This window comes from Homo sapiens, chromosome 14 (genome assembly GCF_000001405.40).
Source record: "Homo sapiens chromosome 14, GRCh38.p14 Primary Assembly".
Lineage (NCBI taxonomy): Eukaryota > Metazoa > Chordata > Mammalia > Primates > Hominidae > Homo > Homo sapiens.
The window spans coordinates 44,391,663-44,406,029 of NC_000014.9; the positions used below are offsets into that span (position 1 = coordinate 44,391,663).

At 34.4% G+C, this 14,367-nt stretch overlaps 1 long non-coding RNA gene across 3 annotated transcripts in view; it reads right to left on the reverse strand.

Annotated features, from left to right (window-relative positions):
- Positions 1–868: 868 nt before the first annotated feature.
- LINC02277 (long intergenic non-protein coding RNA 2277) overlaps positions 869–14,367 on the reverse strand; it is an 89,356-nt gene continuing 75,857 nt past the window's right edge. For all 3 annotated transcript variants that reach the window (XR_001750743.3, XR_001750744.3, XR_002957611.2), the window contains exon 3: positions 869–2,076. This is a non-coding gene — a long non-coding RNA (long intergenic non-protein coding RNA 2277). The remainder of the gene's footprint in view (positions 2,077–14,367) is intronic.

Sequence of the window (14,367 nt, forward strand, 5' to 3'; positions counted from 1 at the left end):
ATACTGCTCCAGTTTCACCATAGCCCTTAATTGGTCTAAAAGGGTCCAATTTGTGTATCTTGAAAGTCAGCTACTGTGTTAGCAGTGTGAGTACCTCGTAACACCATGCAACAAGAAGCCCAAGCCATGTGGAGAGGCCAGGAAGATGAGATACAATGTGGAAAGAGAGAGGCCAAGAAGCACCAAAGCACTAGATATGTGCATGAGAAACCTACCTTGGATGGTCCACACAAGAAAAAGGAGTTTGCAGATGACTCTAGTTCTAGCTGCTATCTGGGTGTGACAATGAGCAACACCCTGAGAACTTACCACCTAAGCCCAGGCAATCCACAGAATCATGGGATATAGTAATGTCATTGTTTTAGGTTACTATGGGGGATGTTGTTACATAGATAACCAGAACTGTGCTATTCATATATTCAAGGTTTTATAAAGTCTTACTCTTCATTGCCAAGGCTTCATTGAATATTTATAGGTTAAAATATTTGAAATTACAATTTCCCAAATAATGTTCTAAATATAAAGCCACTGAGCAATATGTAGATGGACAGTCATCAAAAGATGATTTGGAAAAATGACATAGAACAATAAATTTTAGTGGCTCTCCACCTTCTTCAGCTGGAATACATCTGAGGGATACAGCACATTACTATCAATTGCATCAATTGCTATCAACAACAACAGGAGTTTTAGTTTAAAAAGACCCAAAGACTATTTACTGTCAGATCCTTCAGTTAATCATCATGAAAATATTAAATAAAAAATAACCATATTCACACTTTCTTGTCCATAGTGAAGAGTGCTTGGTGAGTTTAAAGAGAGACTTTTTAGTGATACTCATTTATATAATTTCTTAACAAGACGATGGTCATCTTTAAACCAAACTTTATTTTCAGACGTTTGACTAGCTCTACCCATCATGAAATGTAGTTTGTGAAATTGTGATGTTCACAATCCCAAATCCACTTCTTTCCAGCTGCATGACCTTGGATAAGTTCTTTAATCTCTTTGTGCTTTAGTTTCGTCATCTGAAAAAAAAAGGAATAATAATAGTATCTACCCCCTAAAGTGGTAAGGAGGATTAAGTCAGTTAATAATGCATAATAACAGTTTCTGGAAGTAGTAAGCATCATATAAATGTTAGCTTAATTATTTTTTATCTCATTCATTACATTAGGAACACCTGATTGTAGAATGGCCATAACAAATCCTGGTATCAAATGGATTTCACTAGACAAATAGCCTAAATTCTCCTTAGAGTTAGATAAATGGAAAATACTTATTAAATAGGATTCTAAGTAGTGATTACTCCTATCACTCTTTTGATCAGTCTTATCAAAAGCAAGCAGAGCACTTTAATTCCAACTTATTGTGTAACTTTTAAGGAAGATACCCTAACCCAGAAATGTCAAATCGAGCTGACTGAATGAATTAGTACATTGCCTCATCCAAAATGAACACCATGATCCCAGCTAACTTGATGAGGAGTTTTAGCTGGACTTTCAGATTCTTTTAAAGGGGAGTAAAGCTGTTCATTGAAATGTACTTTGCCTGGTCAAATATTTGATGCAGTAAAAAGCAGTCATAAAAGCTGAAACTAAGACTCAGATCCCATGCCAATCATTCTAAAAAAGCAAGCACCAAAGACTGTTTCCTAGAATTTTACCATTTTTTAAAGAGAATATCATACAGATGCTATATTTGTAGTTTATGCTTCACGATTCAGTGCTTTTTCCTGCTAACTATTGAAGCTGAGAAGCTCAACATTCACACACACACACACACACACATACGCACACAAATAATACTAACAATGACAGAATCGAAAGTTCTTTATCCAACATCCATTCTTCCCTTCAGCCTTAGTAATTGAATTACAGTTTAAAAAACAGCAAATATGTATGATAAACATTTATTTTCATTTAAAATGTATAAGCAAAGACTACTTATTCTACTCTCTTTTGATGTAGTGCCAAAGTCTTTTCTTTGAATGTCTCCATCGATTGCAATTCTCCACTGTCTTTCTTTCATAAATCACTCTCATAATTCATCTTCTACAATGTCCAGTTTCAGTGTCTTTGAAGAGAAAAGAAGACATTTGTTAGGGAATTAATGCATATCCTTTCATAGTTTGACAATTTTTTTTCCAGGCTTTCACAATTTCCTCCCCACATCTAATTTGGCAATATTTTTAAAAAATAAAATTTGCCTTCATTGTGTATTTCCAAAGAATAAACTTTATTTTCATTTCAACTACTTTACTTTTTACTAACTTGAATACTGTGGGTTTAGATAATATTTGTAAAATCACATAATTCTATCAGAATGTCTGAAATACACAGGTTTGGGAACAAATATAACTGGATCTTACCAAGCCAAAAAAAAAAAAAGTACTGAATAAGTGGGAATAAAAGTGAGCAGTCACATTTGAGATGAGCCTCATAATTGTCAGGATTCAGCATGCACATTCATCATCAGAATATCTGATAGACATAATGCAGAGTTTAGGTTTATCTCTTAGTTTTGTGCAAAAGTAACTGCAGTTTTTGACTTTACATTATGGCAAAAACTGCAATTATTTTTGCACCGAACAAGTAGCAATGATTAAGTAGAAGTTGCATATGAGAGATTTCACCCCTAAAGATATTTTATGGATTTTTCAAAAAATATTCCCTACCCTCTTCTTAATCATAGAAAATATTTTTAAAATATGTATATTTCTAAAGCAGACTATCTTACTGTTTTTGATGTTGGTGTTTATAAAGAATAACAAACCCTTGAGACATATTCACATGTCTTTATTCCTAGGAGGATAATCAGCTATTAGTCACTGTTATGGGTTAAATTGTAACCCTCAAAAAGTCATATGTTGAATTTCTAATCCCAGTACCTCAGAATGTGACCTAATTTGGAAAAAAGATCATTGCAGGTATAATTAGTTAAGATGAGTTCTTAGTAGAGTAGGGTAGGCCCTGAATCCAGTATTACTGGTGTCCTCATAAAATGGGGAAACTTGAAAATAGACACACATCCAGGAAGAATACCATGTGAACATAAAGGAAGAGATAGAGGTGATGCACCTACAAGCCAAGGAATGCAAAGATTTCCATCAAACACTGGAATCCTGTTGTTTCAGCCACTCAGTTTGTGGTACTTGGTTACAGCAGTCCTAACAAACTAATACAGTCCATCTTTAGATCAATTTATCCTTAGCTTACAGTCATATTAAGCTTAAATCTGACTTCATCTGGTTTCTATTTATGTCCTTCTCTGCAGCTTCTTACAATTTGTCAGGTCTTCTCTTTTCTAGGTAGGTAGCCTCTTGACTTGAAAATGTTTCTTCATATCATATTATTTCGCTATCCTGATCTCTCTTCTAATGCATTCCTAAAAATACAGTCTTATGCATAAAATTAAAAATAGCATGTGACCTGCCTAATGCAAAGTAAGGCAAAGAATAAATCACCTATCTTCCAAACATGATTTTTTTGTAATGACACAGCCCAAGGTGCAATCATGGCAGCACATTAAACTGCTTACCCTCATTGAACAAAAATCTTAGTTTCCACACATGCTTTTTCTAAGCCATGTCTCTTCTGTATTCTTTGTTGGAGCTGATTTTTTTGATCCAATGATAAAACTTTAATGTTTAATCCCGAGAAACTTCATTTTGCTGCTCTGCCACATCATTCTAGCACATCAAGTTTAGCTTAGAACCTGATTCATTTAGTTAAGTCATTAGGAAAAAAAAGTTGACGTACAGGGAAAGGATAGATTCCCTAAGCCACATTACCAGAAACTTTCTCCAAGCCAAGTTTATCTGTTACGTAGCAATCTGGGATATACCTTATCAGTCAGTTTCCAAGAAATGTAGCTGTGCTAACACCAAGTACATATCTCTTCAAAAGTTTAAAGAAAGGTTATATTACTTTAATAAATACAAATAAATTATATCTCTATCCTTCCCCTGATCTACCAGCCTAACAATTCTGTCAAAAAAAGGACATGAAGCTAATTCAGCATCACTTGTTTTTGGAGAAACCAGGCTGAGTCTTAGTGATCTCTGCTAAGTAATGTAACACATTTCTTCATTTCTTAAGAAATTGACTTCCAAATTTAGCTGAAATCACATTAGAATTCATTATATGACTTTTTCTTCATAAATCTAAATGAACTGCAAAGTTTAACATTTCAATATAATCATGATAAAATTAAATCTTAGTTCATTTTAGAAAGTTAACTTGAAATTGCCTAAAGAATGAATAGAGTGCATTTTTCAATGAAAAATGTTTCTAGCTTGCAGTAATGCAGCTTTTTCAGTCATATAAATAGAAGCTACCAAATATGCTTTTGAAAAAATACGATTTATTTCAGAATTGAATTACTGACTTAGAACTTCAGTGCTGTCTTCTTTACAGACATTTAGCGTACTTTATCCTAATCTTACTTCTAATCTTTCATTTATACTTTTTCCTTTGATTCATTCCCTCAGCTCCTTCTAGGACTTTGTTTAAAATATCTCCTGCCCCCTCCCTTTAAAATGCACACTCTATCATTTCCCATCCCCTTCCTTTATTTCCTTTATCACACTTATCCCTTGGCATTATTGATATTCATATATTTTCCATCTCACTTGCTAGAATTTAAACTACACAAGAATAGGAAGTTTATCTGTTGCTTTAACAGCCACATACCCAGGTTGAGAACAGTACCCAGCACATAGTTACTTCTCAACAAATACTTGTTGGAGGAGTGAATGAAGCAATAAAGAGAAGTACCAATTATACTATTAAGTAAACATTTCGCAACCAGAATACTAAGAGACGAATGTAGGCAAGAGGTGGTAACTGAAAACACCAAGTCACAGTTGAGATAAAACTCACCTATACATGCTACAGATTTAATTAAACATAATATTGTATAATTAAAATTACATCTAATATTTTAGATACATGTTTACTCTTTTAGAATTATAACCCACAACTATAAAATAATAGTTCAACAACTCTAAATATCACATAAATTTCCTAATAAAATGCAGCCAAAATGTCACTATGTTTGTAAAAATAACTTTATTTTCCCACTCAATATATAATTTCCTTCTTTAATTCAAATATTCAAATAACCTGATGAGGGAAGAAGCATAGTCTCTGCTGCCCATTCTCGCTATCTGTTTTCCCATTTACCCCTTATTCCCACTCTCATCACCCCATCTTCACTATGCCGGAATTCACTCCCTTCTATACGTCTTTATTGTCTATGCTATGAATAATTATCTTTTAAAATCAGAAAAAGAAAGCAATTACTTAAATGAGTAGTTATTTAAATAAATGTCTGTTTTGTTTTGTTTTGTTTTGTTTTTTTGAGACGGAGTCTCGCTCTGTTGCCCAGGCTGGAGTGCAGTGTCACGATCTCGGCTCACTGCAAGCTCCGCCTCCCGGCTTCATGCCATTCTCCTGCCTCCGCTTTCAAGTAGCTGGGACTACAGGTGCCCGCCACCACGCCCAGCTAATTTTTCGTATTTTTTTTTTTTAATAGAGATGGGATTTCACCGTGGTAGCCAGGATGATCTTGATCTCCTGACCTCGTGATCCGCCCACCTCAGCCTCCCAAAGTGCTGGGATTACAGGCGTGAGCCACCACACCTGGCCAAATGTCTGATTTTTGTTTGGTTTCAGTTTACAACATTTTTCTTTGCTTGTATTATTATCACTGTTTTTAATATTGATTAGAAACAAATAGTGCCTTGAACAGTAGATATTTGACTACCATTCTGCTACTGAAATGGCCTCCCAGTGTCCAATGGTTCATTTAAAATAGAAGAAAATGTAGTTCTACTAAAGATTTCCATAAAATTATTTATAAAAAATTTAGGATGTCTTCAATGAAATGTGTGAAAATATACAGAATTTACTTTAATGCAGTGCTTAAATTGAACCAGTCAGCCAAACTGACTTCTAAATAAGCAGCTGATGGATATATATATAGAGAGAGATAGATATGTAGATATATAAATACATAATTTATTAATCAAATGATTGCAGTGTTAAGTAAACAACTAGTACTTTGCAATGTAAAAGCACATTACAGTTTACAAAATATGCCTACATGGCTTCAATTCCAGTATAAGTTACTATGTCACTAAATGCCACTTTTGGAATCCAAATTTATCCACAATTTCCCCAACCTTTGCATTAGCAAAGCAGCTCTTACAACATTGGCCCTCAAAGAGCCTCATCTGCCACAAATAAATCAGCTCTTCAAGACAACAGAGCAATATGACTGAGCCACAGCTAGTATCATACTGAATGAAGAAAAACCGAAAGCCTTTCCTCTGAGATCTGGAACAAGACAAGTATGCCCACTTTTACCACTGGTACTGAACATAGAACTGGAAGTCCTAAGTAGGGAAATCATACAGGAGGAAAAAATGAAGGACATCAAAATTCAAAAAGAAGAATTCAAGTTATAGTTGCTTGCAAATGATATGATTTATATTTGGAAAAACCTAAAGACTCCACAAGAAAACTATTAGAACTGATAAATTCAGTAAATTTGCAGGATACAAAATCAACATACAAATATCAGTAGCATTTCTATATGCCAACAGTGAACAATCTACAAAAGAAATCATGAAAGTAATCCCATTAACAATAGCTACAAATAAAATGAAACTCCTAGGAAGAAACTTAATCAAAGAAATAAAGATGCCACAATGAAAACTATAAAACATTGATGCAAGAAATTGGAGAAAACACAAAAAAAGTAAAGATATTCCATCTTCATGAATTGGAAGACTGAATATTGTTAAAATGTCCATGCTACCCAAAGCAGTCTACAGATTCAATGTAATTATTGTCAAAATACCAATGACATTCTTCACAGAAATAGAAAAAAAATTTCTAAAATTTATATGGAACTGCAAAAGACTGAGAATAGCCAAAGTTATCCTGAGCAGAAAGAACAAAACTGGAGGAATCACATTATCTGATAATATGGTTTCGCTCTGTGTCCCCACTCACATCTCATCTTGAATTGTAATCCCCATAATCGCCACATGTCCAGGGAGAGACCTGGTGGAAACGACTGGATCATAGGGGCAGTTATCTCGATGCTGTCTTCATGATAGTGAATTCTTATGAGATCTGATGGTTTTATAAGTGTTTGACAGTTCCTCCTTCACATACTCTTTCTTGCCTGCCACCATGTAAGATGTGCCTGCTTCCCCTTCTTCCATGATTGTAAGTTTCCTGAGGCCTCCCCGGCCATGCAGAACTCTGAGTCAATTAAACCTCTTTTCTTTATAAATTACCCAGTCTCGGGCACTTCTTTATAGCTGTCTGAGAATGGACTAATACACCTGACTTCAAAGTATACTACAGAGCTAGAGTAACCAAAACGGCATAGTAATGGCATAAAAACAGACAGATAGACCAATGGAACAGAATAGGGAACCCAGAAATAAATCCATACATCTACAGTGAACTCACTTTTGACAAAGGTGCCAAGAGCATACATTACAAAAAGGATGGTCTCTTCAATAAATGGTGCTGAGAAAACTGGAGATCCATATGCAAATTAATAACATTAATCCCTAGACCCCTATCTCTCATCATTTACAAAAGTCAAATCACAATGAACTGAAGACGTAAATCTGAGACCTCAAACTATGAAACTAATGAAAGAGAACAATGGGGGAATTCTCAGGGCCATTGGTTTGGGCAAAGATTTATTGAATAACACCCCACAAGCAAAGGCAAATAAAGCAAAAATGGACAAATTAGATCACACACAGTTAAAAATCTTATGCACAGCAAAGGAAACAATCCACAAAGTTAAGAGACAATCCACAGAATGGATGAAAATATTTACAAACTATCCATCTGAAAGGGAGTAATAACAAGAATATATAAGGAGTTCAAACAACTGTACAGGAAAAAATCTAATAATCTAAAAATCTGATAATCATTAAAATAGGCAAAAGATATGAATAGATATTTCTCAAAAAAAGACATATGAATGGCCAACAGGTATATGAAAAGATTCTCAACATCACTGATCAGAGAAATACAAATCAAAACTACAATGTGATATCATCTCACCCTTGTTAAAGTGGCTTTTATCCAAAGGACAGGCAATAATGAATGCCTATTGTTTGGATAAAAGGGTGTGGAGAAAAGGCAACCCTCATACACTGTTGGTGGAGATGTAAATTAGTACAGGCATTATGTAGAACAGTATAGAGTTTCCTCAAAAAACTAACAATAGAACTATAGTATGACAGCAATCTCACTTCTAGGTATATACCCAAAAGAAAGGAAATCAGTATATTGAAGTTATATGTGAACTTATGTGTTTATTACAGCACTATTCACAATGGCCAAGATTTGGTAGCAACCTAAGTGTCCATAAGCAAACTAGCGGATACAGAAAATATGGATACATATACCCAATGGAGTACTATTCAACTATAGAAAAGAATAAGATCCTGTCATTTGCAATAACATGGATGGAGGTCATTATGTTAAGTGAAATAAGCCAGGCACAGAAAGACAAACTTAGCATGTTCTCACTTATTTGTGGAAGGTAAAAATTAAAACAATTAAACTCATGGAGATAGAGAATAGAAGAATGGTTACTGGAGACTGGGAAGGGCAGCAGAGGTGTGGGGGACAGTGAGGATAGTTAATGGGTACAAAAATATAGTTAGAGAGAATGAACAAGGTCTAGTATTTGATAACACAACAGAGTGACTACAATCAACAATAACTTATTGTATGTTTTTAAATAGCTAAAAGAATATAATTGGAATGTTTGCAACTTTAATATAAATGCTTGAGGTCATGTATATCCCATTTACCCTGATGTGATTATGCACTGTATGCCTGTATCAAAATATTTAGTATACCCCATAAATATATAAATATACCTGCAACGTACCCATATTTTTTTTAAAAAAAGAAAGACAACAGAGCACTCACATTCTTTGCTCATTTGTATTTCATGGAAAAGGGAGATGAAGGGAAGTCTATGTCATGTGGAAAAAGTGATATAAGGTCCAGGTAATGAAGGTGATCAACTGACTGCAATGAGATAAAAATTGACCCCTGCCCCACTTCTAGTTCCTTCTCTGCCCATTTTGACTGGGAACTTAAGATATTGGCTGGTACTTGCATTTTTGATAATTCAAGGACACCAGTTGTTCATGAACCCCACTTTAAAAAACATGGCGATAAAATGGTATTGAAGAGTGACTAACTGCATTATAACCAGAGAAGATAGAGGGATGTGAATATACAAATGCCTTCACCCACAAATTTTTAAATTAATTTTATATAAAGTCATAACTCTTTTTAAAACACAGGAATCAAGTTCACATTTTCCATGCTGCAGAAAGGATTAAACATGTAGGACAGTTTATAGCTATTTATTGCCTCCTGAACATCAGCTTGATTGATGTTAGTATATTAACCCAGGTAAGCAAGTTTTAAAGCAAGGAAAAAAAAATGGTTTTGCTATTGTCTATTTTACTCAACCACAGCAGAAAAGAGAGGGAAAAATTATTAGTATTGCAAAGTGCTGAGGAGAAAACATATTTACCCATCTATAAACCCTTTTTCAAGGTTTTTGGGTTTTTTTTTATTTTAAAACAGCATTATTGATCAGGTTGTACTAACTTTGCCTTTTGGAAACTTATTTAAAAAAAGACATTTCAGTTGCCATGATCTAAAGTAATGTTTACCACTATGGTTTACATTTAACATATTGTAGTAGTTATTTTTTAAATTATTTTATTTTGTCATGTAGAGATACTGTGTGTTTTTTTTTATTTGAACTGGTTAGCTCTATAAATTCCTCACTTAAGCTTTCCAAATGGACCATTCTTTTTAAAAAGCCTATAAACAAATAAATAACATAAGAAGAATAAAATAATGAGCTCAAAGTGAAATAAGGAAATAAATATTACAGAAGGTTGGAGTAGAGCACCAGTGAAATAAAAGTGTAAATTTCAGTTTCCCAGCCTAATAAAAAATTAGTATAAATGCCTATTTTATTGATCTTTAAGACTCTAAAATACTCTAGAGGAAACTGAATCCAAATTTTATTCCAAAAGTAAAAATAATAAATAGTTAGTAAAAAATTTACCAAACATGATAGTAGAATCTCTCATTTCTATTTTTGGGAAGAGGAAAAGTTTATGGTTCATTTTAATTTTACATTGTTTCCTATCAATATGTATCTCATTTTTTTTGGAAATGATTTGGATTCTATGGATATGTTGTCATGAATGAGACTTTTCTTGATGGAAAATGAAGTCATCATGTTAGAAGAGTCCCTTTGAGGAAATCAGTTATCTCCTTACTTGCAAGTGGCATACATTTTCTAGATTTTCTTAAAAGTTAGGCTTAAATATTTCCGGAAATAGATATTTCACCCTAGCAACCACCTCCCTTGCAATCAGTGCTGCAAAAGGGAAGAACAGAGTCTTTATAGTCAAAGAGATCTGAGTGGCTGGAAGGAAAAAATATTCCAACAGGAAACAAAAGTGAAACATGTAGGAAGAGATAGGATTGAAAGAAACGAAGGTAAAGGAAAGAAGAGAGAGAGAGAGAATAGAAAAAGATATGTGTTGTTATGAAATTAACAAAATCTAATTTTAATATTTATTTATATTTACGTTTTTCCCAAAAGCTTTACTAGGGCCAGAATACTTAGAACTATCAATGCCTATTAAATTTTTAGGAAAAAATAACCTATTGAGATTATTACTGGCATTTCAAATAAAACTAGACTTACATTTCATTCATATTTAAAAAGTAATGTAAACTTTTATAAAATATGTACCACTCTGTTTTAGAACTCAACAGCTTATGGATGAAGAAATGGTTTATCACATGATTTTCTTGGAGAAGGATAAGCCAAACCTTAATGCCTTATTAAAGTGATTTTCTTAACTAATTTAATTGCTGCACAGTAACTTTTTAATCTCTCACATCAGAAATTATCCACAAATCCAGTAATATAGGAATCTGCCAGTCAATTTTTACTATATTTTGACAATTTTCTCTTTTAGAAATGTGACAATAAAACTACAACCTATAAGGAAGACTGCTTCTAGTAGCATATTTTACCTACACTGGGTAAATTATTGCCTTTCCAGTAGAGAGAGAATGAAAAATCCTTTTGCTTAAAATATCACCTGCAGTCATTCAACCTTGCAAAATCCCTTCCTGAATGAGATGTATTTATTCAGGTTTTCACTGTAGTGAATTGAGTCAGGATTAAGAGTTCTACAGAAATTTCAATGACACAAAAAGGCATGGTTCCTTATCCTTGTAGAATCATGCAGTGACATGTAGTGGTGTTAGTTGTAGGACCTTGTAAACTTAATTTCTAAAATTGGTGAAGTGCTGGTTTTGTGTCCAGTGTGCTTAGGGCATAATAATAGGCTGTCTTCACCTTTCAAGAACTCTGAGCCTTTCACATTTTAGTTGTGAATGTGTAAGTGTACTTGTGCATGAAGGCTAACTACACTGCATGTCTTTATAAAAAGAGAAGCAGAAGCCAAGTAGAAAATCATTTAAATTTATTTCCTGGAGACACAGTAGGGCAGCATATAATGCCTAAAAGCTCTCCTGTCTTCTATGCTGTTGTATCACATTAAATAAATTTTAGGAGCTGACGAAGGCTTTTCAGTGCCAATCAACAATCAGAGAAAGAGGCGTTGCTATTGACAACTGGGAAAGTTGTGGTGCTGAATTGCAGAAGCTGTCTTTTAAAGGGTTCCAGCCGTCATCATCACATCAGTGAAGCATATTAATCTGCTCCACATTGCTTGAAAAGGTGTAGGTAATTACCTTCTCTACTCCACAATGTTTTCACAGAAATCTTTCATGAGATGATATTGTTTAGTGGGAAACAACAGCTAACTTTTCCAACTAGGGGGGAGAAAGGATATATATGGCTCATAAAAAGCTGACATCCTTTTAGTTAGTGGTTTCCAGAATTTGAATAATCACCAAATATGTAACTCATGTGCCTTATGCAGTATACAACCTGAACAACCATACTTGCCAGCCCTAGAGACTAACTTAAGTTGTTATGATTACTGTTGTTGTTATTATTATTTAACAATAGGAGGCAATTTTTAAAAAATATGTTACAATTTCATAAAGACAATTTGGCCATGAACACCCAAAATAGGAAGTACATAATCTCAGAATGAAACACAGACTTACTTTTAAATTAAATAATTTTAGATTCAAGAAAAACTCACTGCATTACCCTTATAGCACATTGTCATTACATGACAAACTAGTAAAAGAAAGTTCTTATTATCTTTCATAAATTCGAGTTTGGAAAATAAAATTTGCTTTTAATTATTATTTTATAGAAAGCAAAAAGGCCTTTTAACATTTGGTGAAAATCAAGATTTATCATTTCTGTAGCATGTGGCTATGTCCCTAAAAGAGTGACTTAACCTGCGGCTGCCAAAATCAGTGACAGATTTTGACACAAGCTGTGAAAGAAGCATCTGTGTGACTAATGGCCTGGCTCATACATTCACTTGGTGGCCAGGTGCCAGTATTTTATCTGGATGGTTTGCTTCAGACTCAGATGATTCTACTTTAATAACTCCTGAATGAGACTCTGAAAACAAAGTAATTCCTGTGGATTATATATCCTTATCATCTCCAGAATGTATCTCCTTCTCACTCATCCCATTGACAAATGCTTCTCTTTTCAATTCCCCAGAAAGACTCTTCCCTTAGTGGAGGCCCAGAAGAAATAAAAAGTGGGTCACCAGAGGTGGAATGTCTGAGCCCCAGACAGACAATGACAAAAGAGTGAGACATGATAATATGACCTGGATTTCTATGAAATGTCATTTAAGCGTGGATTTAACTGTGGACCCAAAGCATTATGCTCTACAAATGGAGTGAGTTCATCTTCTTTTTCCAGGAACTACTGTCCTTCCAGACTCGACTGATCAGCTTTCCTTTGAAGATTTTCCTTATCTTTCTCCATCCAACTCGGAACAAAGGGTAAATCAGGTAAAATCAAACAAGGTGAAGCCAGGCATGTAATTAGCTCTCAAAATATATGTTGTAAACTCCTGCATGCTTTCCAGAAATGGTTTACAACTTTAGTTTTATACTTGCTAGCAAATAAAGGCATTGGCAGGATCAGTAATGGTTCAGTGTCTACATGCTTATAAATATACAAGTTGCAAAGAAGAACACGCTCATGGCTGGTACTCACATGAGAGAGAAGTTTCTCCTGTGGGCCCTCTTAAAGAAAAAAGTGTGTAATATAGTGAAGAATCATTAAATGACAGTCTCACAGTAAACACAGTGGCTTTCAAAAATCTGTTTCTTCTAACATCACTCAGCATAAGCTTATGGCAAAATGCCACTCCACAATTTAGTAAGCACATTCCCACAGGAACCAGAACAGTGTTACAGAATTTTTGCTTGCCTGGCTTAGACACGATAGATTTAAGAGGAGCTAGGTGAATGGACAGACACCACGTCCTTCAGGCAATCTTTCATAAATATTGTTTCTCCCAGCTGAGCTTCTGAAAAATGTTGAATGGCAGTGAGTTGAAGATTATATTCTCTGACAAGTACCTGGAGTGAAGCTATTCTGTTTTTCCGGTTAAGTGCAAAGCCATATGTTTTAACAGCTCCTCAACCCAGAGGCCGGATTGACATTTTCTTATGAAAGTTGACAAGTCTGACAAGAACAAATGCTTGAAGAGAAAGCCACTCCATCTGCACATAGAGATAAACAAGGGAGTACCTACGGGAAGGGCCAAGATTCTTTTCAAAAAGCAATTACTCTCCTGCTCACAAAAAAAGGAATCATCAGAGTGCCGAAGATCGTTGCCATATGATAAGAGCATAATAATTTTAAGCTAGATTAATTTTAACGTTTTAACAAAATACCATGCCCATTTGCCAAAAAACAAATTTTGTTTCACCCTACTATTGCCATCTGTGTCCAAAAATATTTTATATCAATTTGTTCCAAAGAGAGGAGAGTGTTCCTCAAACAAACAAAAAAATAGATTTTTTGTCAATTCTTCTAATGAGTGGGGCATTCATCATGATAAGGAAGTGAAGACCAGAAAAATGGCTGACTGTCTTCTTATACATGCTTGCTTAGGTTGCATATTACCCTTCTGAGAGAATCCCACCATTCCTCTCTCTTTTTCTTCTAAGTCTTTCTCCCATACACCTGAGGTAGGAGGATCTGAGAGAGTTCTGGCTAGTATCGTTGCCACCATAAAAATCCTGGTACAGGCAGATTAAGCTGGCTCTTCTCTTGCTTTAAGAAAAATATATTTTACTCTTCCTACTGTCA